Source organism: Homo sapiens, chromosome 17 (assembly GCF_000001405.40).
Source record: "Homo sapiens chromosome 17, GRCh38.p14 Primary Assembly".
Classification (NCBI taxonomy): domain Eukaryota; kingdom Metazoa; phylum Chordata; class Mammalia; order Primates; family Hominidae; genus Homo; species Homo sapiens.
Genome location: NC_000017.11, coordinates 19,628,090 through 19,655,755, shown reverse-complemented (window position 1 = coordinate 19,655,755; position 27,666 = coordinate 19,628,090). Strand labels below are relative to the sequence as shown.

Genomic DNA, 27,666 nt, shown 5'->3' with positions numbered 1-27,666 from the left:
TGCATTGTGCTATCATTACCAGCTATTCTAAGAGAGAACATCTTGGACAATAACAGCATCAAAAGTAAGAGAACAGATGGCAAGCAAGGAAGACAGAGAGGTATTCAAGACTCCAAGGTGGAAGTGTGAAGTAAAAGCTGGCTTGTGGATCTCATGTTTCCACTTGAAGGCGAATTAATTTCATTCACTTCATGGTTCAGCTGCCCAACAAATGTTTCAAGCTTTAACTTTTCTATGGCTTAATCTACATAGCATATATTATTGATCCCCTAACACGGTAACTGAAGCTGGTAGAGCATTATTATCCTCCTTATCCGGACAGAGTCAGTTATTGAAGAATTTACCCCTGGTCAGGGGCAAAGCGGTACCTTCAACCTCTATCTTCTGGTTCTACGTCCTATTCAATCCTTGACATCTCACTGTCTTCCATTTCATCTTTCTTGATTGGATCATCACAGCTATTAGAACAAAATGGCTCTAACAAAGAGAAAAATATCATTCCAAGAACCAGAACTGGCCTCAATCCATCACAAGTTGATGTACAGAATACAGGTAAGATATTTTTAAGCTGTATTTCGCTTAAAGCTAAATGAAGACTCCTCCCTGTAGCAACTGCATGTAGAACTCAGCAGTGCCAATTTCTTCGCGGCATCATAACTTCCTCCCCAGGAAGGCATAAGAACCTCTGACTCAGACAGATGAACTACCCGCAGTTGGGCAGATCATTTTCTTTATTCAGTTCTTGATATTCTTAAATGCCAGCATGTTAAGTCAGTGTGAGGATCTGCCCTCTAGTTCAGGAGGGCACTTTTTGTGTATGTGTGGCATGTTTTCATGCCACAGACATGTCTTTTTTGAAAGCAGAAGTACTCTTATAGGCTGGGTGAGAGGTGAGAGCGTGCGGGCAACCCTTGCTCGCTCTCAGCACCTCCTTGGCCTTGGCACCCACTCTCGCCACGCTTGAGGAGCCCTTCAGCCCACAGCTGCACTGTGGGAGCCCCTCTCTGGGCTGGCCAAGGCTGGAGCCGGCTCCTTCTGCTTGTGGGAAGGTGTGGAGGGAGAGGCGCAGGCAGGAACCGGGGCTGCGCGTGGCGCTCACAAGCCAGAGCGAGTTCTGGGTGGGCGCAGGCTCAATGGGCCCCACACTCGGAGCAGCTGGCCGGCGCCGCCAGCCCTGGGCAATGAGGGGCTTAGCACCTGGGCCAGCTGCTGAGGAGGGTGCCCCGGGTCCCCCAGCAATGCCAGCCCACCAGCGCCACACTCGAATTCTCGCCGGGCCTCAGCCACCTCCCCGCAGGGCAGGGCTCGGGACCTGCAGCCCGCCATGCCCAAGGCCCCCACCCCGCCCCTGGTGGGTTCCCATGCTGCCCGAGCCTCCCTGATGGGCGCCGCCCCCTGCTCCACAGCGCCCAGTCCCATCGACCGCCCAAGGGCTGAGGGGTGCAGGCGCGCAGCGCTGGACTGATGGGCAGCTCCACCCACAGCCCCGGCGTGGGATCCACTAGGCAAAGCCAGCTGGGCTCCTGAGTCGGGTGGGGACTTAGAGAACTTTTATGTCTAGCCGGAGGATTGTATATGCACCAATCAGCACTCTGTGTCTAGCTTGGGGTTTGTGGATGCACCAATCAGCACTCTGTATCTAGCTAATCTGGTGGGGATTTGGAGAACTTTTATGTCTAGCTAGAGGATTGTAAAAGCACCAGTCAGCACTCTATGTCTAGCTCAAGGTTTGTAAATGCACCAATCAGTGCTCTGTGTCTAGCTAATCTAGTGGGGACTTGGAGAACTTTTATGTCTAGCTAGAGGATTGTAAATGCACCAATCAGCATTCTGTGTCTAGCTCAGGGATTGTAAACGCACCAATCAGCACCCTGTCAAAACGGACCAATCAGCTCTCTGTAAAATGGACCAATCAGCAGGATGCGGGTGGGGCCAGATAAGGGAATAAAAGCAGGCTGCCCAAGCCAGCAGCGGCAACCTGCTCGGGTCCCCTTTGACACTGTGGAAGCTTTGTTCTTTCAGTCTTTGCAATAAATCTTGCTGCTGCTGCTCACTCTGGGTCCGCACTGCCGTTATGAGCTGTAACACTCACTGCGAAGGTCTGCAGCTTCACTCCTGAGGCCAGCGAGACCACGAACCCACCGGGAGGAATGAACAACTCCAGACAGGAGGAACTAACAACTCCAGATGCGCCGCCTTAAGAGCTGTAACACTCACCACGAAGGTCTGCAGCTTCACTCCTGAAGCCAGCAAGACCACGAACCCACCAGAAGGAAGAAACTCCGAACATGTCCGAACATCAGAAGAAACAAACTCCGGACACACCATCTTTAAGAACTGTAACACTCACTGCAAGGGTCCGCGGCTTCATTCTTGAAGTCAGTGAGACCGAGAACCCACCAATTCCAGACACATGGGCATGGTGGCTCACACCTGTAATCCCAGCACTTTCGGAGGCCAAGCTGGGCGGATCACCTGAGGTCAGGAGCTCGAGACCAGCCTGACCAACACGGTGAAACCCCATCGCTACCAAAAATACAAAAACTAGCTGGGCATGGTGGCACACGTCTGTAATCCCAGCTACTTGGGAGGCTGAGGCAGAAGAATCGCTTGCACCCAGGAGGCAAAGGTTGCAGTGAGCCGAGATCACACCACAGCACTACAGCCTGGGTGACAGAGCAAGATTCCATCTCAAAAAAAAAAAAAAAGTACTCTTATATAATCACAGAAAAGTACATTTTGTTAGAACAAAAGAGATTGTTAGTAACAGAAATATGTCAGCACCCAGCACAGTACCAGTCCCTCATTAAATAATCCATTAAATGAAAACACCTAAAATCATGTTAGCTCAAAAATTAACCCCAAATCCCAGACAAACACAGAATCTGTTTGGCATGAAGCCATGGGCCTACATATATTGTGTAACCCCAAGAGCTGGGTGACTCCACACAAAATACACTCCGTGTATTTTGGAACCGAACTTCTTTTGCTAAGCCAACTGTTGAAGGCTTAAAGAGACTGCAATTGGGTCCCCGGCCAGCAATAACATGCAATAGCAAGAAAATAAAATGTGTGTTTTCCACAGTAAACACATATGTTGGAGATGAGTCAAGAAATTCTTACCTGGTCTAAATACTGAGGGAGAAGCTTTGCCAAGATCTTGGCTGTATTTTCACTCAGTTCAGAAGGCTTTATAATCACAGCATTTCCTAAATAAAGTAAAAAGTAGAACAGTATCATCTAATATTTAACTTTAATAGCTACCAAAATGATGTTCAGTGGGAAGAACAGGCTAGGTACTCCCAATTATTTCTGCAGCTCTCAATGCTGCATATCCTCATAATTAGCATAAGAGCTCATCTCACTTTCTCTTCTAAGGCTAACTCCTTAGCTGTCCTCATCTTCAGGTCACTGACAATGGGTTCCAGCAGCCTTTCCCACTCCTCCAGCTTTCTATCGCTTTTCTCCCACTTCTGCCCTTAGATTGTCCTCTCTGCCCTGGAATTATTGGGCAAGTGAGCCATTTCAACATACATCTCTCTATCTGGATCCTGCAAAGTGAGAAATTAATCTCCTGGCATTTGCTATATACCCAAGCTAGCATTACTCTCATAGTCTTTATTTGAATGAAGAAACTGGTCAGACAGAATCAAATGGTTCATCCGAAGCCAGAGCCAGCAACTGAAACCATATTAGAACATGGATGCCTGACTCCAAACTCCTGGGCCTGCTGACTCACACATCTTTACACTCCCACAGGTTCATTCCCCAGGTGCTTCAAAACATAGCCACACAAATCTCCTCAGCAGCCCATTTAAAAATATGTATGGTATGTATGAATTCTCAGTACACTGGTGGTGTAAACAAAGGCAAATCACCAAGTAAATGTATTTAATTAGCCACTATCCTTAATTTCCAATTAATATGAGAAAATAAGCCTCCCTAAAAAGGTATATAGACATAAGGTGGCACCAGACCTGCAGCGATGGCTCCTATCAGTGGCTGAATGGTGAGAACGAAGGGGTAATTCCAAGCTCCGATTATCAGCACCACTCCCAGAGGCTGTGGCTGAATATAGGCCTCATCCAGCATGGTGAGCACGTTCTTCTTAACTGGTTTAGCAGTAACCCATTCAGGAAGATTCTCAAGCATAAAATCAATTTCCCCAAGGACAGTAATGACTTCCTGACTGTACACATTGAATTCACTCTGTTATAAGAGAATCACAGTTAATCTTGCAGAGTAAGTATGATACACTTGGCCCTGAATGTCAGAACACTCACACCAGGTACACCTGTAGTGACAACAACTGGCATTATCAGACTAGCTGTTTGCCATTCAGACTCCTTTTGCACCCTTCACGCCCCTGGTAAGGGCTTGCTAATTCTCTAATATATTTCTTTTAAAAAAATCAAAGATTATTTCAGGGAGTAGTAACACTAGTCGAATACCATTAGTAAATCCTTCTTTAGTAATCCACACCCTTTAAAAGCCAGGCTTAAATATTACCTCTTTCAGGAAGATTTCCTTGAGCAATAAAGGTCTGCTCTGAACACACTTTATATATTACAGCAATCATGCTTTTGACCTGCATCTTAATATTCATCCTTAACACACTGGTTTATAACTATCACTCACATTTCATCTGTGTATGTTCTGTTTCCCAGTCAAGTTTAAAACTCTTGAGGACAGGGAACTTATTGTATTTCTTGAGTCATCCTATATACACACATACTCACACAAACATTTAGTTCTTCAAGTATGATTAAATGACACAGACTTTTTGGAATCTTAATTACCCCATCTTGTTTATTTAATATCACAGCCCCTTTCCACCAAAAGTACTCTAAAAGAAATTTCATAGTTGCTACTAGTACTACCACTATTACGACTTATTAAAATAATCTTTGATTGAGGGGATTGTGGGGAAGGGAAAAATCACAAACCCAGAGCAAAGCCTTGCTACACATGTAATGCAGATAAAAAGTAAAAACAAGATGATAGGCCAGGCACGGTGGCTCACGTCTATAATCCCAGCACTTTGGGAGGCTGAGGCGGGCGGATCACAAGGTCAGGAGATGGAGACCATCCTGGCTAACACAGTGAAACCCCGTCTCTACTAAAAATACAAAAAATTAGCCGGGCACGGTGGCGGGCGCCTGTAGTCCCAGCTACTTGGGAGGCTGAGGCAGGAGAATGGTGTGAACCCGGGAGGTGGAGCTTGCAGTGAGCCAAAAGAGCACCACTGCAGTCCGGCCTGGGAGAAAGAGCGAGACTCCGCCTCAAGAAAAAAAACAAAAACAAAAACAAAAACAAGATGATAGCCTCATGCCTGTAGTCCTAGTATCTGGGAGGTTGGGGCAGGAGGACTGCTTGAGCCTAGGAGTTGGAGGCTGCAGTGAGTTATGATTGAGTCACTGCACTTCAGCCTGGGTAACAAAGGGAGACCCTGTCCGTTTAAAAAAAAAAAAAGTAACAATATTATCAGCAAACATACAGGAATATACTTACACCCTAAAACACTACTTAAAACTTTGCTACCACAGGCCGGGGGGGTGGCTCACACCTGTAATCCCAGCACTTTGGGAGGCCCAGGCAGGCGGATCACTTGAGGCCAGGAGTTCAGGACCAGCTTGGTCAACATGGTGAAACTCCATCTCTACTAAAAATACAAAAATGAGCCGGGTGTGGTGGCGCACGCCTGTAATCCCAGCTACTGAGGAGGCTGAGGCAAGAGAATCGCTTGAACCCAAGAGATGGAGGTTGCAGTGAGCCGAGATCGCACCACTGCACTCCAGCCTGGGAGACACAGTGAGACTCCGTCTTAAAAGCAAAACAAAACAAGCAAACAAACAAAAAAACCACACACACAAATCAAAACAATAAAAACTTTGCTACACAAAGCGTGCTTCCAAAAGAGGCATATGATATCACTGGGGACCTTGTTAGAAACTTGGAATCTCAGATCCCACCCCCGACATACTGAACCATAATCTGCATTTTAACAAGATCCCCAGGTGACTGTTAGTGCATTAAAATTTGAGGAGAACTGACCTAATAATACACAAAGTTATGAAGAAAAATTTGACTGCAACTATAACTTAAAAACAAAACTCTGTCTAACAAAGAAACCATAAACAAAGCTAAAAGACAAGAAATAGACCCAGAGGCTGGTCTGATGGTAATGGGTTATTCAGAACTTATTAATATTACTGTTATTCAAGTTGGTATGCAACTCTCCCACTGCTAAATTTGGCTTAAAAAAAAAGAAAAGAAAGAAACCCAAAGAAAGTATCCACAATACAGTAAACTGACAAATTACTTAAATCCAGAATATACAAAGAGTTCCTACACATCATAAGGAAAAGAACCACAAATGTAACAGAAAAATGGACAAGAATAGAAAAGGCAGAAAAGGAACCACAGAAGCTAGGTAACATATGCCCTTCTGAGTGCTAGAGGACCGGGAAAGTCTGCGGGAACTTTGGCTTTATCTGTATCGCTGGAGATCATACTCCCAGTGCTGGAGTAATCCGAAATGTAAAAGCAAAAACAAAACCCAGCCGAAGCTCCAGTCCACAAGTGCGCGGCGGGGGCCAGTTTCCCCACACCCCGCCGCACGCGTGCGTACCTTGCACAGGTCGGCGGCGATGGCCGTCAGGATATCCTTCTCGCGCTCCTGCACCATCCTCCGCAGGGCCTCCAGCTGCTGCAGCCGAAACCGCAGAGGTCGCGACCGGCCGGACAGGAACGCCTGTCGGACCCGCCGGACTTCGAGCTCCATGGCCTGGTCCTGCAGAGAACTGCACGGTCCGGGGGCGCTGGGGAGTGGGAGGCGGGAAGCATGCAGGTGCAGGCCTCGCCTCCCTTCCCTCCGCCTCCCTCCGGGGGGTGTCTCCACCGTCAACCCACAGCCACAATTCACTCGCCCAGGGCTCGCTCGCTCAGCCGCGACCTCCACGCCCGCTGAGTCCCACTGCCAGTCGGAGGCGCCGGGGGAGGACTGAGCTCGACCCAAAGCCTCACCCCTATTGGCCTGGGCGGCCCACGTGACAGCCGCTGTTCACGGCCTCGCCCACGCGGCCCCCGCCCTCTCCCCGGCTCTGGCAGCGGGCTGGGATGTAGGGGGTGGAGTGAGCAGTGCGGGAGCCGAGCGCGGCCACGGGCCAGGGGGCGGCGGGGTGTAGGGATGGAGGGAAGGTGTTGGCCATCCTGCTGAGAGCGCCCCGGGGCGGCCCCAGAAAGGGCGAAGAGGAATCCTGGAGGAGCAGGCGGAGGGCGCTCGGCTGGGAGTGGGCGCCCTGCCGGAAGCGCCCCGACTGCGACGGAGAGCAGTCTCCGCTCTGGCACGCTCTGAGGGGTTCCCTCCTCCATTTTGTGGCTCTTCAAACATGGCCAGATGGACGTAGTTGGAGGCCTAGCGCTCCCCATTCCGCTTCCCTGTCCCCTGCTCCTTCCTTCAGCGAGGAGCTGCCTCGACCGGCACTGACCGTCCCAGTTCCCTGGAGAGCTAGTCCCTGAGGGCGGGAAGCCGGGGTTCGTCTCCCGCGGAGCCGGGACAGCGGTCATTTCCTTCTTGCACAAGCATCATCCTCGCACGTCCGTTACTCAGAGCTTCTCCCCAGGCTGCATTTGCCTCGCTGCCCATGGTTCCGTGTTCCCGCTCCCAAGAGAGAACCCGCTGCCCTCAGGTTTCCCCCTCCCGCCTTATTGCCTTTCGGGCGAGAGACTTCAGCTCTCATCACTGTACTCAGCAGCAGTTGGCTCAGCTGATCGGTCCTGTCTTGTGGAAAGCTTTCTTTTCTTTACCATTTCCCTGCACTCTTCTGCACTTTTCTTTTTAGCTCACTGGCCGGGTCCTCTGGGGTTCCTTTGCTGGATTTTTCTCCCCTTCCTGACCTCTCACTTGTTCAGGTGCCCAGGGCTTAGTCCGGGGCCCTCTTTTCACAGCCACTCCCTCATGTAATCCCATGAATAGTGCTCACAGAAGGCTCTAATCCCAGCCTTTCCTCTGAACTCTAAAGGGTATATTTGTGAAAAGAAAATAACTCGGGGCCCTGGCCCAAATGAACTCTCCACTTATGTACAAAACAACAAAAACCGTGGGAGCTCAATTCACTATGCCAAAAGGAAAAAATTAAGCAAAAAGCTGAGTCATGCAAGAAACTGCCTTTCTCTATGTCCCTAAGCAGATAGCTACAGATAAAAGGTTAAATGTCCCCACAGGTAGCTGCTCTGTCCTCACCTTATCTTACTGAAGTGCTGATTTACACAGCAGGAGGCAAATACATAATTGACTATTCCCCTGCCTGTTCCTTTTTCTATTTGTGCAATGTGTGGATTCAGTAATGACCATGTTCTCCCTCTTTCCCCTCCAGCCCGCTCCTCCCTTTTAAATATTGAAGCCCTCAAAATCATCTTTAGATAAAGGCACAGACCTCCCTCCCAAGCATGTCCTTAACCTTGGCAAAATAAACTTCCAAATTGATTGAGAGCTGGTTTTGGTTTACAAGCTGGCAGCCAAAGGAAGTGACTCAGTGGAGGTGGCCCTGACCTTTGACAAATCTATCAGTGCTTGGTACCAGCTTGGGCTATTTTTATTGCTCAAACAGGACAATTTGCTGAGGCCTGGGAGCACCCCACTCCAGAGAATCCCTGATGTCCCAAAATTTGGTTGAGATCTAAAGTTTATTTTGCTGTACACCTCTTTGTCTGCAGTTTTACTTACTCCCAACAAAGAAGGTGCGTTTTCCTGCCTCCATGACGATGGAGGGGAGGCAACTCCTTTCTGGAATTTCATCTGGCTTCCAGCAGGGAAGGTGAGTCTGAGTTTTTTTTCTCCTTCTAAAATGGTAAAGAGCAGTCTTGAGCCTGGACCCTATTCCTAGGTAAGCACCTGAATTGGAGTTTTGTCTTGGAAACTCTCCTTGGTGACTAAAGTTAAGATTAACAACCAGCTGGTCTTAATTTCTCCTTACCATTAGAGCGCTCAATAATACAAATTGTGCGATCATTTCTTTTGCTTAACTGTTTCTTTGTTTGTTTCTGTTGTTGTTTTGGTCTTTTTCCCATTGGGTTTGACCAGCTCTACTTGACTTGGTCAAATCTGAAGGAAAGTTGAAATTATGGAGAACAAGGTCTTTGAATTGGCTAAATTACCACAGCTGAGGGGAAAAAAATGAAAAAGAAAAAACAGGCCGGGCATCCTGATGGTTTCCCTGCTTCTACTCTTTCGGGTTTTTTTTTTTTTTTTTTTTTAGACAAGGTGTCACTCTTGTCACCCAGGCTGGAGTGCAGTGGCCATGATCATGGCTCACTGCAGCCTCCAGCTCCCAGGCTCAAGTGATCCTCCCACCTCCACCTCCCAAGTAGCTGGGACTACAGGTATGTGTCACCATGCCTGGCTAAATTTTTTTGTATTTTTTGTAGAGATGAGGGCTTGCGATGTTGCCCAGGCTGGTCTCCGACTCCTGGGCTCAAGTGATCCCCCTCCCTCAGCCTCCCGAAGTGCTGGGATTACAGATGTGAGCCACCTCGCCGGCCCCCTGCTTCTACTCTTGACTCTAGAGATTGTTATTTCTCAGTTCTACACTTGCCCTTTTATACTCTACTGCAGGGACCTAGAGTGTGTGAACCCCATTTCCCAGGCTCTCGTGCCCGCTGGCTTCTGCCAGTAGGGGGCACTATAAGGAAATCAGAAGGCAGGAGGTGGAGAGTAACTTACTGCTTCTGGATTCAATCGTGTGGCAGTTGCTGGCCATTTCTATAGTGAAAGTGGAGGAGGGATTATTCTTTACTCTAGGAATTCCTTCCATGGTCAAGGTGGCACCTCTCTAGTAGACAGAGGATGAAAGTGATAGTGTCTCCAAATGGCACAGAAGCTGGTGCAGTTCCATTGGTTCCAGCTAAGGGTATTTTTAGCAGCTTTTTTATCTATGATGTCACTCCATTATTCTTTTTGACATCTATTACTCTTAAAATTCCCTCTGCATGAAATAACTAGATAGTTTATCTTTCGTGACTGGACTCTGATAACACTTTGTTGTAGCCTGTTCTCCACCTAGCCATTGGTGTCCGAAGGTACCCTGATCATGTTAATTCACTGCTTAAAACTTTCCAATAGCCTCCCCTCACGTTTAGAATAAAATTCAAAATGTGAATTTTTCTACACATATTCTACAAGCCCTAAATGCCCTGGCCCGTGACTACATCTTCAACCTCTTTTTGTAGGATTCTCCCACTTAGTGAGTTTCAGCCAGAGTGCCTTCCTTGCTGTACACTACTGAGCATTCTAAACACATTCCCAGCCCGGGGCTTTTGCATTCATTCTGTTTCCTTTGCCTGTAGTGTCCAGCTATCATTCTCACTTAATTCAATTGCTGCTTCAATATTACCTCCCTAAAGAAGACTTCCCTGACCACCATGTCTAAAATATCAGTCTCTGCTACTTTCTGTCCCTGACCCTGTTTTATTTTTCTTAATATAAATGTATCTATTTGTTTGTTGTTTTTAATGTGTCTTCCTCACTGGAATATCTTGTAAAATCAGGGTCTTTGTTGTTCATGTTCACTGTAATGTTAGTACCTTGAATAGAATCTGGCCCACAGTAGGTGCTCAGTAAGTATTTATTGAATGAATGAATGAATGAATGGTACACTCTCACATACTCTAGTCTTAGTGTCTTGGCACTGTCTACTTTTGTGGCTTTCTCAACAGCCTGTAATTTGAAGCTTAAGGAGATTCATGATGAAGCAAGGAAATTGGCAAGACCATCAAACTCTTCTTCACTTCTACTTCTCGCTTGCCTGCTTTGGACAAAAACAAAAAAATCCAGCCCATGTGGAAATACCATAGTTAAAGTTGGGAGACAGTAGGTGAAAAGGCAAGCAGGCTTATATAACAAAAGCAGTAGCTCCAACATATACAAAGTGTTTAATTCAATTATGTAAGTAACTGAGGAGTGCTTGTGCATAGGAAGCCAATCAACTAATATCAGTATCTAGAACCGTGTGGCAACAATATTTAAATCAGCTCAAAGGCCGCCAGAGAGTGTACCCAATAATCTTTATCTGATCTGAAAGGGTAACCAGTTCTAAATGCTGGCTAATAAATATTGTGTAAGGAACTAGGTAAATTGAGATATGAATCATGCTTCCATTTAAAAAAAATGTAAATAATGAACAGAATTCCAGTGTGGAATTAGAACAGGAATCGGTTTCACCTAGGGCAAATTAATTGCTAAGTAGCGAAGAGCTGCTGCTTTTGCTGAGCATAAGATGTGAGGATTTCTTTCTTTCTTTCTTTTTTGAGGCAGAGTCTCGCTCTGTCGCCCAGGCTGGAGTGCAGTGGTGCAATCTTAGCTCACTGCAACCTCCACCTCCCAGGTTCAAGCAATTCTCCTGTGTCAGCCTCCTGAATAGGTGGATTTCAGGCATGTGCCACCATGCCCAGCTAATTTTTGTATTTCTAGTAGAGACAGGGTTTCACCATGTTGGTCAGGCTGGTCTCAAACTCCTGACCTCATGATCCGCTGCCTCAGCCTCCCAAAGTGCTGGGATTACAGGCGTGAGCCACCGTGCCGGGCTGAGGATTTCTTACAAACGATGTACTCTGATTCTAATGGCATAATCACCAAGAATTTACTACCAACTCTTGAACATTTTCTTTATTAGTTAGAGAAATCAACTGATGGCATTTTGTTGGGCATATTTAAAAATCACATCCAAGTGCTTTAATAGAACAAGGTGATATATTTATGGAACCAAAGAGAGGACTGGGAATTCTTTTACTACACTCCCAAGCTGAAACATTCTCCCTTCAGCTTTTGAATATGATATACTCATTGATTTAAGTAGCTATGGGTAATGAAATCACCACAGCAGGTTATAGGGGTAAGGGGTGAGTCCTCACAAGCTTCTCCTTTCAGGAATGCAGTAGACTGTAGTGATTTTACTATGCCTGCCCACTATACTTTTCCATCCTCCTTTTTCAGCTTAAAAAAAACCAAGTTTTTCTTTTTGTTTTTATTGGGGGTAATCAACTCCATGACCCTTCTCCACCACAACCTTTAGATCTTTGATCTGCTCAGTTATCAGCAGGGAGAGTTTTCTTAAAGGCAAGGATGAAACAGACACTTTTAATTATTTAAACCTCAGGGGGACTAAGGTAGTGAGTGTGTACCCAGGAGTTCTTTCTGCCTTCTGGCCCAAATTTCATTACATTTTCATTGGATACTACATAAATACAAAACAGTGCCTACAGTAAATTATTACAGAGTTTACCTACCTGTATCTATGACCCAGAACATTACCAGCATTCCTTTTAGGCCCCTACCCAATCACCACTATAGAATTTCTGGGTGAAAGTAAATACATGTTTTAACTTTAGAAGCCAAATAATTTTTCAGTGTTTTTATACCAATTTATATTCCCTACCACACAGTCTAGCAGCTGCTTTCTAAAACTTGATTTAAAAAAATAATTACCCATTCTGGTGGATGCGTAGTGATCTCTCTCTCTCTCTCTCTTTTTTTTTTTTCTTTTTTGAGACTCTGTCTCAAAAAAAAAAAAAAAGGAATGCAGCGGTATGATCTCAGCTCACAGCAACCTCTGCTTCCTGGGCTCAAGTCATCCTCTCACTTTAGCCTCTCTAGTTGCTTGCGTTACAGGTGTGTGCCCCCGTGCCTGGCTAATTTTTATATTTTTAGTAGAGACAGGGTTTTGCCATGTTGCCCAGGCTGGTCTTGAACTCTTGAGCTCAAGACATCCACCTGCCTTGGCCTCCCAAAGTGCTGGGGTTACAGGTGTGGGCCACTGCACCCAGCTTGTAGTGATATCTCCTTGTGATGTTAACTTCCATTTCCCTAGTGACTAATCATGGTGGGTTCCTTTTCATGTGTATTGACTATTTGCACATATTTCCATAGCTGGGAATAGCAGATTTTATGAAAGGTGTTTAAGACAACAGACGTGAATTGAAGCCTCAGACTGCCTTGGACACCTTTCCTAACTTTCAAAACACTCTTCTTCAGCAAATGCCAATATAAATGTTTGTGTCCACAGATCAATAATAGAAAAGAACAAACACAGGACCATAGACACTACACACACGCACACATGCATATAACTCTAAGGAAAAGGAGATAAAGATCTTTACAAAAGATGAAGCATTCTGATGTGTAATTCTCACAATCTCTTAAGACACTGACACATGATCTTTGGGGGCGGGGGCGGAGGAGTTAGCCCAAAGGAAGGCTGTGAGGGATTAAAGAATAGATTATAAGAAAACAGGAGAGGGCAAACTCGAATTGAAACTCAGGAAAGAAAGAGAAGAGAAAAGCACACCTTAATAGAGATGAAAGTTGCATGAGAACAAAAGGTAAGAGATACAAAAAGAGAAGTTTGACAAAATTACATAAAATGAAAAGGAGACAAATGATTCCATTTACATGATAGAATAGTCAAATTCATAGAAACAGAAAGTAGAACAGTGGTTACTAAGGGCTGGGGCAGGGGGCAAGGGAAGCGGTTATGGTAACAGAGCTACTGCTTGATGGGGACAGAGTTTCAATTTGGAATGATGAAAAAGTTCTGGAGGTAAATAGTGGCGATGATTGCACAACATTGTGAATGTACTTAATGCCACTGAATTGTTCACTTAAAATGATTAAAATGGTAAAATATACATAAAAGATACAAAAAATACATAAAACATGTGGATGTAAGTTTTCAACTCATTTGGGTAAATAGCTTATTTGGGTATGTGCTTATTGGAGACCTATGCTTAGCTTTGTAAGAAACTGCAAAACTCTTCCAAAGTGGCTGTACCATTCATCATGCATTCGTACCAATATATAAGAGTTCCTGCTGTGCCACATCCTTGCCAGCATTTGGTGGTGTAAGTGCTTTGGATTTTAGCCATTCTCATAGGTGTGTAGTGGTATCTCATTGTTTTATTGCCAATTCCCTGATGACACATAATGTTGAGTATCTTTACACATCTTTATTTGCCATCTGTATAGATTCTTCGGTGAGGTGTCTGTTTAAACCATTTTTAATTGGGTTGCTTTTTATTGTTGAGTTTAAATAGTTATTTGTATATTTTAGATAAATAGTCTTTTATATAAGCTATGTTTTTACAAAGATTTTCTCATAATCCTTGGCTTGTCTTTTCATTCTATTAACAGTGTTTTTTTACAGAGCAAGTTTTAAATTTTAATGAAGTCCATTTTATGAATTTTTTCTTTCATGAATTGTGCTTTTGGTTTTGTATCTAAAAAGTCATTGCCAAACCCAAGGCCACCTAGATGTTCTCCTGTGTTATCCTAGGAGTTTTATAGTGATGCATGTCAGGAAGAAAAGAAAGATACAAGATTTTTCTCTAGGTTTTGGTTTTGTTTTATTTTTTGGCATGTGGATATCTAGTTGTTTCAGTACCATTTGTCAAACAAGCTGTCCTTTCTCCATTGAATTGCTTTTGTTTCTTTGTCAAACCTTAGTTGACTGTATTAGTGTGAATCCATTTTCAGTTTTGTATTCTGTTCTATTTATTTGTCTATTCAGTCATCAATGCCACATTATTGTGTTTACCTTTATGGTAAATCCTGTAGTTGGTAGTGTCAGTCTACCAACTTTGTTCTTCAACATTGTGTTGGCTATTCTGGGTTTTTGCTTTTCCATGTCATCTTTAGAATCAAGTTGGTCAATATCCACAAAATAAACTGCTAGATTTTGATTGAGAGTGTTGAATCCATGTATCAAGTTGAGAAGAACTGGCATCTTTTCAACTTCAACTCTTCATTTTCATGAACATGGACTGTCTCTTTATTTATTTACATCTCCTTTGGTTTCTTACATCAGAATTTTGTAGTTTTCCTCATATAGATCTTGTATATATTTAGATTTATATCTAAGTATTTCCGCCCCTTTTTGGTGCTAATGTAAGTGGTGTTTTTAATTTTAATTTCAAATCCAAAGTGTTCATTGCTATTGTATAGTAAAATAATTGACTTTGTATAATAACTTTCATCCTGATACCATGCTATAATCACTTATTAGTTCCAGAAATCTTTTTTGTTGATTATTTGGGATGTTCTACCTTGATAACCATGTTATCTGTGAACAAAGGCAGCTTAATTTCTTTCTTCCTAATATGTATACATTTCCTTTATTTGTCTTATTACATTAGCTAAAACTTCAGTTACGATGTTGAAAATGAGTGGTGAGAGGGGACATCCTTGCTTTGTTCCTAATATTAGCAGGAAGGCATGCAGCTTCTTTTGACTAATATGTTATCTGTAGAATTTTGTAGATGTTTGTGATCCAAGTGAGGCATTTTTATTATTATTTTTTTTTTTTTTTTTTTTTTTTTTTGAGACGGAGTCTCGCTCTGTCGCCCAGGCCGGACTGCGGACTGCAGTGGCGCAATCTCGCTCACTGCAAGCTCCGCTTCCCGGGTTCACGCCATTCTCCTGCCTCAGCCTCCCGAGTAGCTGGGACTACAGGCGCCCGCCACCGCGCCCGGCTAATTTTTTGTATTTTTTAGTAGAGACGGGGTTTCACCTTGTTAGCCAGGATGGTCTCGATCTCCTGACCTCATGATCCACCCGCCTCGGCCTCCCAAAGTGCTGGGATTACAGGCATTTTTATTATTGAAATAAAATAAATAAAACTTACTATTTTAACCATTAAGGTGCACAATTCAGTGACATTAAGTACATTCACAATGTTCTGCAACCATCAATATCATTCACTTTTAGATCATTTTCATCATCCCAAACAGAAATTGTACCCATAAACAATAATTCCCCTCTTGCTCTCTTTCAATCCCCTAATAACCTCTATACTTTATGATTTTGACTATTCTGGGCACCTCACATACGTGTAATCATACAAGATGTGTCTTTGCGTACTTGTACAAGTGTCCTTGTATAATAGGCCTGCATATGGCTTATTTTCCTTAGCACAATGTTTTCTTTTTAGGGGAAAACAGGGTCTTGCTCTGTTACCCTGGCTGGAGTGCAGTGGCACAAACATGGCTTACTGCAGCCTCAATCTCCCAGGCACAAGTGATCTTCCCACCTCAGCCTCCTGAGTAGCTGGGACCACAAGCATGTGCCACCATACCTGGCTAATTTTAAAATTTTTTGTACAGACAGGGTCTCACCATTTTGCCCAGGCTGGTCTCAAACTCCTGAGCTCAAGGGATCCTCCTGCCTCCATCTCCCAAAGTGCTGAGATTATAGGCAAGAGCCACAACACCACCAGCCCTAGCACAATGTTTTTAAGGTTCATCCATGCTATAGCATATATCAGAGTTTCATTTCTTTTTAAGATTGATTAATATTCCATTGTAAGTATACCACATTTTGTTTATCCATTTACAAAATGGACATTTGGGTTGATTCTACCTTTTGGCTATTGTGAGTAATGCTGCTGTGAACACTGGTGTACAAATATCTGTTTGAGTCCCTGCAGCATATCATAATTCTATATTTGTTAAAGATCTCACATACTATTTTCTATAGTGGTTGCACCATTTTATGTTCCCATCAGCAATGTACAATAGTTCCAATTTCTCCACATTCTCACCAAAACTTGCTTTCTGTTTTCTTTCTGTAATGACCCCTATAATAGGTATAAAGTAATATCTCATTGTGGTTTGGATTTGCATTTCCCTAATGACTAGTGATGCAGAGAGAATATTTTCATGCCCTGGTTAGCTATGTATCTTCTCTGGAGAAATGTCTGTTCAAGTCCTATGCCTAGTTTTTTTGTTTTTTGTTTTTGAGACAGAGTCTCGCTCTGTCACCCAGGCTGGAGTGCAGTGGCGTGATCTTGGCTCACTGCAACCTCCGCCTCCCAGGTTTAAGTGATTCTCCTGCCTCAGCCTCCTGAGTAGCTGAGATTACAGGTGGCTGCCACCATGCCCAGCTAATTTTTGTGTTTTTAGTAGAGATGGGGTTTCACCATGTTGGCCAGGCTGGTCTTGAACTCCTGACCTCAAGTGATCCACCTGCCTCGGCCTCCCAAAGTACTGGGATTACAGGTGTGAGCCACCATCCCCAGCCATATGCCTAGTTTTGAATTAGGCTGTTTGTATATTTTGTTCTTGTGAGTTGTTAAGAATTTATGTCCGAACATAAATCCCTTATCAGATATATACTATGCAAATACCTTTTCCCATTCAGAAGGTTACCTGTTTATATTATTAATAGTGTCCTTTTATGCACAAAAGTTTCTAATTTTTATGAAGTCCTGTTTATCTATTTTGTTGTTGTTGCTTGTGCATATCCAAGTAATCGCTGCCAAATCCAGATTTCCCCTTATGTTTTCTTCTGGCAGGCTTAGTGTTTGGTCTTATGTTTAGGTCTTTGATCACTTTTTTTTTTTTTTTTTGAGATAGGGTCTCACTCAGTCACCCTGGAGTACAGTGGTGCAATCAGAACTCACTGCAGCCTTCACCTCCCAGGCTCAGGTGATCCTCCCACCTCAGCCTCCTGAGTAGCTGGGACTACAGGCACACATCACCACACCTTTTGTGTGTGTGTGTGTGTGTGTGTGTGTGTGTGTGTGTGTGTGTGTGTGTATTTTTTGTAGAGACAGGGTTTTGCCATATTGCTCAGGCTGGTCTTGAACTCCTGGGCTCAAGCAATCAGCCCATCTTGACCTTCCGAAGTGCTGGGATTATAGGTGTGAGTCACTGTACCCAGACTGACCACTTTTGAGCTAATATTTATATATCGTAAATAGGGGATCAACTTCATTCTTTTCTATGTGGATATCCAGTTTTCCCAGCACAATTTGATGAAAAGACTTTCCTTTTCCCATTGAATGGTATTGGCACCCTTGTTTAAGTCATTTGACCATATATGCAAGGGTTCATTTCTGCATTCCCAATTCTGTCCATAGGCATGTCTTTATGCCAATACCACACTGTGATTATGTAGCTTTGTAGTTTGTTTTGGAATCAAGCAATCTGAGTCCTTTCACTTTGTTCTTCTTTGTCAGACATTTTTGGCTATTTGGGTCCATTGAGATTCCATATGTGTTTTAGGGTGGATTTTTCTATTTCTGCAATATGTCTTAGGGATTTTGATAGAGATTGCATTGAATCTTTAAATCACTTTTGGTAATATTGTTATCTTAACAGTATTAAGTCTTCATATGCATGAGTATGGATTGTCTTTCCGTTTATTTATGTCTTCTTTAATTTCTTTCAATTATGTTTTATAGTTTTTCGTGTACAAGTCTATTGCCTCCATGGTAAATTTATTCCTATGCATTTGATTCTTTTTGATGCTATTAAAAATGTAATTGTTTTCTTAATTTCTTTTTGGGATCATTCATTGCTAGTGTATAGAAATGCAACTCATTTTGTGTGTTGTGATTTGCATCCTGTGACTTCTGAATTTGTTAATTGAGTCTAATGGTTTTGTGGAATGTTAAGGGTTTTATACATATAAGATCATGTTATTTTTGAACACAGGTAATTTTACTCCTTCCTTTCCAATGTAAATGCCTTTTATTCTTTTTGTTGCCTAATTGCACCATCTTAAACTTTCAATAGTATTGTGAATAGAAGTGGGGAAAACAGACATTTTTGTCTTGTTCCTGATCTTAGGGGACAATCTTTTAGTCTTTCACCATTGAGTATGATCTTAGCTGGAGGTTTGTCATATATGGCTTTTATCATTTTGAGGAGCTTTCCTTCTATTCTCACTTTATTAAGTGTTTTTTTTTTTTTCAAAGAAAAGGTGTCATTATTGGTATAGTGAGATTAGTATCTGTATATGTTACCTTTTCTATTTTTTTGTTTTTTGTTTTTTGTTTTTTTGAGACGGAGTCTCACTTTGTTGCCCAGGCTGGAGTACAGTGGCGCGATCTCAGCTCACTGCAAGCTCCGCCTCCCGAGTTCACGCCATTCTCCTGCCTCAGCCTCCCAAGTAGCTGGGACTACAGGCGCCTGCCACCACGCCTGGCTAATTTTTTGTATTTTTAGTAGAGACGGGGTTTCACCTTGTTAGCCAGGATGGTCTCTATCTCCTGACCTCGTGATCTGCCCACCTCGGCCTCCCAAAGTGCTGGGATTACAGGTGTGAGCCACCACGCCCTGCCCACCTTTTCTCTTTGTTGTCCTTGTTACTTTTTTTCTTCCATTGTGGTTTTAACTGAGCATTTTATGAGATGCTATTTTCTTTCTTCTCTTAGCATATTGATTATATTACTTTTTAAAAACTTTTTCATTAGTTGTCCTGGAGTTTGCAATATGCATTTACAACTAACCTAATTCCACTTTTGAATAACACTATTCTTCTTCATGGGTAATGCAAGTGCCTTAGAATATTCTCAGTTCCTCCCTCTTGACCCTTATAACACTGTTGTCATTCATTTTAGCTATGCACAAGCTGTAATAACCAAATACATTGTTGCTATTATTTTCATATATTTTTTATCAATTAAAAATAAGAAGGATAAAATATTTTACCTTCATTTATTCCTTTTCTAGTACATAATTCCTTTCTTTATGTGTATCTGAGTTTCTGAAGTATTTCAGAAAATAGGCTTGGCATTATTAGTAGTATGTGATCTCTAGTAATCACAATGAGACACCACTTCCCACCCACTAGTATGATATAACTAAAATCAAAAAGAAAATCACAAGTGTTAGCAAGGATGTGGAGAAACTGGAAACCTCATACACTGCTGGTGGCAATGAAGAATGGTGCAGCCACCATGGGAAACATTTTGGCAGTTCCTCAAAAAAAATAGAATTATCCGCCTGTAATCCCAGCACTTTGGGAGGCCGAGGCAGGCGGATCATGAGGTCAGGAGATTGAGACCATCCTGGCTAACATGGTGAAACCCTGTCTCTACTAAAGATACAAAAAATTAGCCAGGCATCGTGGCGGGTGCCTGTAGTCCCAGCTACTCAGGAGGCTGAGGCAGAAGAATGGCGTGAACCCAGGAGGCAGAGCTTGCAGTGAGCCAAGATCGCGCCACTGCACTCCAGCCTGGGCAACAGAGCAAGACTCCATCTCAAAAAAAAAAAAAAGAAAGAAAGAAAAAAAATAGAATTATCATATAACCCAGTAATTCCACTCCTAGGTATAGACTCAAAAGAAGCGAAAACAGGTGTTCAAACAAAAACTTGTACACGAGTATTTACTACAGCATTATTCACAATTGCCAAAACATAGAAACAATCTAAAAGTCCATCAACTGATTAATAAACACCAGGTGGCATATCACACAATAAACTATTCAGCCAGAAAAAGGAATCAAGTTTTGAGAGACATGCTACAACATAGAGGAATCGCGGGCCAGGCATGGTGGCTCATGCCTGTAATCCCAGCACTTTGGGAGGCCGAGGTGGGTGGATCACGAGGCCAGGAGTTCAAGACCAGCCTAACCAACATGGTGAAACCCCGTCTCTACTAAAAATACAAAAATGAGCCGGGCATGGTGGCACGCACCTGTAGTCCCAGCTACTCAGGAGGCTGAGGCAGGAGAATTGCTTGAACCTGGGAAGTGGAGGTTGCAGTGAGCTGAGATCGTGCTACTGCACTCCAGCCTGGGTGACAGAATGAGACTCTGTTTCAAAAAAAAAAATAGAGGAATTGCAAAACCATCATGCATGCCAAGTTCAAAAAGCCAGACTCAAAAGGTCACATGTTCTATGATTCCTTCATTATGAAACATCCAAAATAGGTAAATCCACAGGCACAGACAGCAGATTAGTGGTTGCCAGGAACTCAGGGAGAGGGGTATGGGGAGTGAGAGGTTAATAATCTGAGTTTCCTTTTTGGTATGATAAAAATGTTTTGGAAGGGTTAATTTTATGTTATATGAATTTTACTTCAATAAAATCTAGGGCCAGTCACAGTGGCTCACGCCTGTAATCCCAGCACTTTGGGAGACCAAGGCAGGAGGATCTCTTGAGCTCGGAAGTTCAAGACCACCATAGGAAACATAGCGAGATTTCATCTCTACTAAAACTAAAAAAAAAAATTAGCCAGAAGTGGTGGCACACGCCTGTAGTCCCAGCTACATGGGAGGTTGAGGTGGGAGGATCGCTTCAGCCCAGGAGATCAAAGCTACAGTAGCTGTGATCATGCCACTGCTTGAGCCAGGGAGACAGAGCCAGATCCTGTCTCTAAATACATACATACATACATACATACGTACATACATAATCTTCTGGAAAAAAAACTTTTTTTTGGAGTGCAGTGGTGTGATCAGAGCTCACTGTAGCCTCGAACTCCTGGGCTCAAGTGATCTTCCCACCTCAGATCCTGAGTAGCTGGGACTACAGACGTGTGGTTTTGTTGTAGAGATGGGGTTTTGCCATGTTACCAAGGTTGGTCTTGAACTCCTAGGCTCAAGCCATCCACCTGCCTCAGCCTCCCAAAGTGCCGGGATTAGAAGTGTGTACCACCATACCTGACTGAATGTTTTATTCTATAGCATCCTATTCTATATCATAGTTGAAATATTTTGCGTTACCTCTTTGAAGATGTAAGTTTTCTCCCTATAATGCCTATTTTTTTTCTGGTTGCTTTCTCCTATAATTGGATTTTCACAAATAATCTGATAATACTGGGTTGCTTGTTAACACTCAAGAGAGGGAGACAAATAAGCTAAGGGAAGCACTGGTGACATTGGGTGCTTTCCACTGTGGGCTCCTCTCCTGGGAATCTGGTGGGCTTTGTGTGAGAGAATACCCAATATTCAGATTTTTTTAAGGATTTTCTTTTTGGGCTGGTCTAATTTCCTATAAAAGACTAAAACTCTTTTGCTTTGAGGATGAGGCCACCATAGCTGCCAGCATTCTGGGAGCTGAGTAGCAGAAGAGAACACAGCTCTTTATTTTCTACTTTATTTTCTACTTTAAATGAAAGTTGCCACAAAATTAATTAAAAGGCAAAAATGCTAAAAGTTAATCTTTTGTATTGACTGTATAGCTCCAAATATTGTCAGCATACATTGTAAATTTTAAGAGGTTCCATTTTATAAAAGCTTATATGGCAATACCTGAGATAGGACTTGAACAAGCACTTAATATACACTCACTGACAAGATTAAGTACATTCATAGAGAAATACAAAGAAAATAGATCAGCAATAATATTTTACAGGACTATGAACCACTCCCCAGGAGAAGAAAGATGTTTGAAATAAGAAAGAGTAAGTAACCTTTACATCAAGGAAAATCTAATTTGTATATTTAGAAACCATGATAAAATTAACAGGGAAAACTTTACTTAAAATTATAGCCCCTTTCTTGATCTCCAATAGGATAGTGCAATTCCTTGGAATAACCAAGGAAACATCCCTGATATTCTTTCCATCCACAGTTAAGAGTAAAAACTGTCCAAATAACAAGGTCACCTTTCATACTTAACATATGGCATATAATTATCATTTCTAGTTTGTAGAATGGTGGTAATTCTACCATTTTAGCCATGGTCATTGAAAACTCTTAATGAAAATTCCTGCTGAAAGGAAAGTGACAGCAAGAGCTAAAGCCATTCCATGATAGAATATCAGCTGCCTCACTGTCAGGACCTCTCCAGCGGTGGACATTGCATACTGGGTGTTTTCTTCTGGTCTCATCAGTCGAGGGGTCTGGCTCTCTGGTCTGATGATATCAGGCAAAATGATTCCATCAGTTACTTCTCTTCCCAAGATAGGTAGATCTGTTTGCAGAGAATAGTGGGGTATTCACTTATGTCCAGTAAAGGCATATTATGTCAAGTAAAGGCATATTATGAAGTTTACCTAAGAATACGTTATAAACAATAACCCTCAGTTATCAGTTAGTATATGTGAAATTACATTTAAAAATATTTCATAGGAGAACCCACAGGTGATCTCACCAATTACTAGGGCTGAGACAAGTTTTATTGAGCAAGAGAGCAGGATCTTGCAAACTGAGCAACTCTGGCTACACTGTTTCAGTTTTCGTACCTCAGACATTGAATATACTAGAGAATGGCCTCTGTTACCTGAGGAGGTAGGCATGGTCTCTTTATTCCCTTTTAGTCCAGCTTGAACCTGTGCCTAGAAACAAGTGTCACATGAGTAAATGCAGAGTAAGTTTAATCACGCTAGTAGTTGTTTGCTAAAACTTTGACTTAAAGCCATTGTGGGCTGGGCGCAATGGCTCACACCTGTAATCCCAGCACTTTGGAAGGTTGAGGTGGGCGGATCACCTGAGGCCAGGAGTTTAAGAACAGCCTGGCCAACATGGCAAAACCCCATGTCTACTAAAAATGCAAAAAATTAGCCAGGCGTGGTGGTGGGCTAATCCCAGCTACTCAGGAGTCTATGGCAGGAGAATAATTTGAATCCAGGAAGTGGGGGTCGCAGTGAGCCAAGATTGCACCATTCCACTGCAGTCTGAGTGACAGAGTGAGACTCTGTCTCGAAAAATAAATAAAGCTACTATGAAACCTACTGCTAATGGGTTACAGTATCTAGCACAGTCTGTCTTGGTCCTGGATGTGCCATAAAGCAAGAGAACAACACCAGAAAAACACAGACTCAGTTCACAACAATAATATAAAAAGCTGCTGTTGCTGGAGCGGCAAGTTTAACATATCATTTGCACTTGTGCCCTTCAGTGCTCCGAAACACAGATAGAAGGAAGAAGGTCTGAAGGTCAATGGTATTGTGATCTAATGGGTAGTTTATGGCCCATCTTAATCTCCTATAAAGTTTAGTCCCTGAATAAATCAAACAGAAGATAGGAAAGATACAATGCATCATAGTTAGGCAAATCTAAAGCATAAAGGTGGTCAAAGCTTAGACAGTGATGGTTGACATGCCTAAACTCATCTTGTTTCCTTATTAATAATCCCTAAGCCAACCACCCATCTCTTTTTTTAAAAAAGTATTATTATTATTTTTAGTAGAGATGGCTTCTTGCTATGTTGCCCAGGCTAGTCTTGAACTCCTGGCCTCAAGTCATCCTCCTGCCTCAGCCTCCTAAAGTGCTGGGATTACAGGTGTGAGCCACTGTACCCAACCACCCATCTCATCTCAAGCCTCAAACAATAAAAACTGCTTGGCCAGGCATGGTGGCTCACGCCTGTAATCCCAGCACTTTGGGAGGCTAAGGTGGGTGGATCATGAGGTCAGGAGTTCGAGACCAGCCTGGCCAACAAAGTGAACCCCCCCAACCCACGACCGTCTCTAGTAAAAATACAAAAAATTAGCCGGGCGTGGTGGCACGTGCCTGTAATCCCAGTTATTTGGGAGTCTGAGACAGGAGAATCGCTTGAACCCAGGAAGCAGTGGTTGCAGTGAGCTGAGATCGCGCCATTGCACTCCAGCCTGGGCAACAGAGCGAGATTCCGTCTCGAGAAAAAAACAAACAAAAAAATGGCTCCCAGTTCAGCATGTAGATGCTCACATCAGTGAAGATGCAGACTCTATCCACATGTTGTTGTTCTGCCCCCAAAGTACTTCCCACAGATCACAGATACTTAACATAGTGCTTTTATGAAACTATGGACAAAATAGAAAGAGGCATAAAGAACAGCTAACAAGTCAGTATAAACAGGAAACAAACTACTATTTTCCTACAACTAGTACACCCAAACAGCAAAATATATATATCTTTAAATTAAGAGATAGGGTCTTCCTCTGTTGCCCAGGCTGGTCTCACACTCACTTGGGCTCAAGTGATCCTCCTGCCTCGGCCTCCCAAAGTGCTGTGATAATAGGTGTGAACCACCATGCCTGGCCCTAATTCCTTTTCTTTTTTAGGTTGAGTCCCTGGTTAGTAGATATTAAATCAGCTCTATATAAAGAGGAAAATGTGCTGAAATATGTTTTCTTTTGCCTCCCCTCCCCACAATGTTAGATGTATTTCATGATTCACAGTGAATCATTCTGCCAATAGCATTTTTACCATTTTGACCCTAAGAGGTTCCTTACCATGCCATGGGATTAAGTAGAGCCATGTTTCTAAAATAATACACTGACTGTTACCTGCTCCACAACTTTGCTCCAGTTTATCCTCAAGATGTACACCAGATAGAAAAGGGCTTGAAAGAAGACACAAACTATCAATCCAGACCAGAGACCTATGGGTATAAAATGAAATCAGAGTTTAGATTTTTTTCAATTCTGTTCCTATGAGCATTAAAATTCTTCCCTAACTACTGTATCCATAGAGTGAAATTTCAGTTAATTTCCCTAAAATTTTAGATAAAATTTTAGATAATTATGGACAAAGATTAGACTCAAGTTTACCACTGAGCTATTCATGGCAATCATTCAATCAATGAACGACACAACACCTCCAAAACTGTTTGCTGCTTGTATGTTAACAAATACTTGCTGCCTTCAGTTTTATGCCAGGTATTGTTTTAAGGGCTAGAGATACAGAACTGAACAGGCAGATGAGCAAGGTGTCCTTGGGAGTTTATGTTCTGCTGTGCAGGACAAATAATAAACAAGGAAGCAATCATGCAGTCATTTTAGGAGTGAGAGGTGCCAGGACAGACACTGGGCAGAGCCACGTCATAGCACCAAAGATTTGCAGATGAGAATGTGAATGAGACAGCCAGGCCCCTCTAAGGTGGGACCTGGCAGCGAGAAGACGCCATGAGAAGTCTAGGACGGGCACTGCAGGCAGAGGGAAGAGAAGAACCCCAGCCAGAGGAGTCCCAGGAGCTGAGGGGCCAGTCAGAAAGGAGCACAGTGGCAGGGGAGCATCCAGGAGATGGGGTCAGAGAAGCAGGCTCAAAGGATGTGAATGCCATGGTAGGACTGGGGTTCATCCTAAGGCTGACGGGGACCTGCCACAGAGCTCAAGCCTGGGGTGTGCATCCACAGATGTGAGACCTGATGCTTTCAAAAGCTTGCCTTGAAAACAATCCGTCCAACCACGGGATGGAAAATAGTATTGGGAATCCAAGAGTGCTTGGTAGAGAAGAGACAGTAATAAATATGGCTGTTCTGTCCCCAAATAAATAATGACGAATTCCAGCTTGAAATAAAATATCCTATGGTCCCAGCCTGTACCAGTCATTTAAGTGGGAGATGACACAGAAGACACTTACTCATTAATCCACCAGATGACATTTCCAAAAAGACGATAAGAAACAGCCGCTGTGTTTGTGTTGACACAAAGTTCTTGTGACAGCTGTAAGACTAATACTTCACAAAGAAATGGTGACAGAATCAGAGTTTTTACCTAGTAAAAGTAATGCACTGGTTGGATACAGAACAAAAGGAGTTATTTGAGTACATATTACAGGACTCATTCCATTTTCTAGTTAGACTTTTTAAAAACAAAATGAAATTCATTGTTGCTAAATCTGTAGAAAATGAAGATGTGGACATATATGCAAAACACATATATAACAACTTATCCCAAAAGCACATAAGTTAATTTGCACAATTCTTTACATTTAGAACCTCAATAAAGTGGATAATTTCCTTAAAAAATATAACTTACCCATGTTGACACAATAAAAGAAAGTCTTAATAGACTGAGAAGAAATTGAGAAAGCTGTACAAAGAATAAACTACTTCAAAATGCCAGGTCATGGCAGTTTCATGGAAGAATTACACCAAACCTTTATAAAACAGAGAATTCTTATACTACTTAAATTGTCCTGAGGCATACAAAAAGGTAAAATTTTTAATTATCTTTAAGAAGTGAGTATAACATTAATATCATTAATATCAAAACCTAACAAAGATACACAAAAAATACAATTACAGACCAATCTTACTTATAAATTTTAGTGCAAAATTTTTTAATAAAATATTTAAAAAGTGTAGCAGTTCCCTCTCCCTCTCCCTCTCCCTCTCCCTCTCCCTCTCCCTCTCCCTGTCCCTCTCCCTGTCCCTCTCCCTCTCCCTCTCCCCACGGTCTCCCTCTCATGCGGAGCCGAAGCTGGACTGTACTGCTGCCATCTCGGCTCACTGCAACCTCCCTGCCTGATTCTCCTGCCTCAGTCTGCCGAATGCCTGCGATTGCAGGCACGCGCCGCCACGCCTGACTGGTTTTGGTGGAGACGGGGTTTCGCTGTGTTGGCCGGGCCGGTCTCCAGCCCCTAACCGCGAGTGATCCGCCAACCTCGGCCTCCCGAGGTGCCGGGATTGCAGACGGAGTCTCGTTCACTCAGTGCTCAATGGTGCCCAGGCTGGAGTGCAGTGGCGTGATCTCGGCTCACTACAACCTACACCTCCCAGCCGCCTGCCTTGGCCTCCCAAAGTGCCGAGATTGCAGCCTCTGCCCGGCCGCCACCCCGTCTGGGAAGTGAGGAGTCTCTGCCTGGCCGCCCATCGTCTGGGATGTGAGGAGCCCCTCTGCCTGGCTGCCCAGTCTGGAAAGTGAGGAGCGTCTCTGCCCGGCCGCCATCCCATCTAGGAAGTGAGGAGCGCCTCTTCCCAGCCGCCATCACATCTAGGAAGTGAGGAGCCTCTCTGCCCGGCCGCCCATCGTCTGAGATGTGGGGAGCGCCTCTGCCCCGCCGCCCCATCTGGGATGTGAGGAGCGCCTCTGCCCGGCCGAGACCCCGTCTGGGAGGTGAGGAGCGTCTCTGCCCGGCCGCCCCGTCTGAGAAGTGAGGAGACCCTCTGCCTGGCAACCACCCCGTCTGAGAAGTGAGGAGCCCCTCCGCCCGGCAGCTGCCCCGTCTGAGAAG

General features: G+C 43.5%; 1 protein-coding gene and 1 pseudogene across 11 annotated transcripts in view, besides 5 other annotated features; both read right to left on the bottom strand.

Annotated features, from left to right (window-relative positions):
• ALDH3A2 (aldehyde dehydrogenase 3 family member A2) overlaps positions 1–7,620 on the bottom strand; it is a 29,461-nt gene extending 21,841 nt beyond the window's left edge. For 3 of the 10 annotated variants that reach the window (NM_001369137.2, NM_001369138.2, NM_001369146.2), the window contains exons 1-4: positions 7,491–7,620; positions 6,632–6,821; positions 3,978–4,209; positions 3,124–3,209 (exon numbers count right to left, since the gene is read on the bottom strand). In NM_001369137.2, the coding sequence (NP_001356066.1) occupies positions 3,124–3,209; positions 3,978–4,209; positions 6,632–6,784 (471 nt within the window). In that variant the 5' untranslated portion in view covers positions 6,785–6,821; positions 7,491–7,620. Of the gene's footprint in view, positions 1–368; positions 478–3,123; positions 3,210–3,977; positions 4,210–6,631; positions 7,006–7,490 lie in introns of those variants that run through there. The other 7 variants (NM_001031806.2, NM_000382.3, XM_047435622.1 and 4 more) reach the window with 4 other exon arrangements.
• Positions 6,396–6,445: an enhancer, noted in NCBI's record as "active region_11860". NCBI's record gives its function as "activates an Ori minimal core promoter by ATAC-STARR-seq in GM12878 lymphoblastoid cells {active_cell/tissue: GM12878}" and the evidence as "EXISTENCE:reporter gene assay evidence [ECO:0000049][PMID:35858748]".
• Positions 6,956–7,235: a silencer, noted in NCBI's record as "silent region_8297". NCBI's record gives its function as "represses an Ori minimal core promoter by ATAC-STARR-seq in GM12878 lymphoblastoid cells {active_cell/tissue: GM12878}" and the evidence as "EXISTENCE:reporter gene assay evidence [ECO:0000049][PMID:35858748]".
• Positions 7,550–8,199: an enhancer, noted in NCBI's record as "OCT4-NANOG-H3K27ac hESC enhancer chr17:19550870-19551519 (GRCh37/hg19 assembly coordinates)". NCBI's record gives its function as "activates a minimal SCP1, AML or CMV promoter by ChIP-STARR-seq in naive H9 embryonic stem cells {active_cell/tissue: H9 hESC(naive)}" and the evidence as "EXISTENCE:reporter gene assay evidence [ECO:0000049][PMID:30033119]".
• Positions 8,200–8,850: an enhancer, noted in NCBI's record as "OCT4-NANOG-H3K27ac hESC enhancer chr17:19550219-19550869 (GRCh37/hg19 assembly coordinates)". NCBI's record gives its function as "activates a minimal SCP1, AML or CMV promoter by ChIP-STARR-seq in naive H9 embryonic stem cells {active_cell/tissue: H9 hESC(naive)}" and the evidence as "EXISTENCE:reporter gene assay evidence [ECO:0000049][PMID:30033119]".
• Positions 9,397–9,616: an enhancer, noted in NCBI's record as "active region_11859". NCBI's record gives its function as "activates an Ori minimal core promoter by ATAC-STARR-seq in GM12878 lymphoblastoid cells {active_cell/tissue: GM12878}" and the evidence as "EXISTENCE:reporter gene assay evidence [ECO:0000049][PMID:35858748]".
• Positions 21,931–26,726, bottom strand: SLC47A1P2 (SLC47A1 pseudogene 2; annotated as a pseudogene). The gene is made up of 4 exons (NR_170227.1): positions 26,071–26,726; positions 24,995–25,089; positions 23,005–23,059; positions 21,931–22,695 (listed from the first exon to the last, which is right to left on the bottom strand). The product of NR_170227.1 is annotated as an SLC47A1 pseudogene 2 (transcript).
• Between the last annotated feature and the right edge of the window lie 940 nt (positions 26,727–27,666).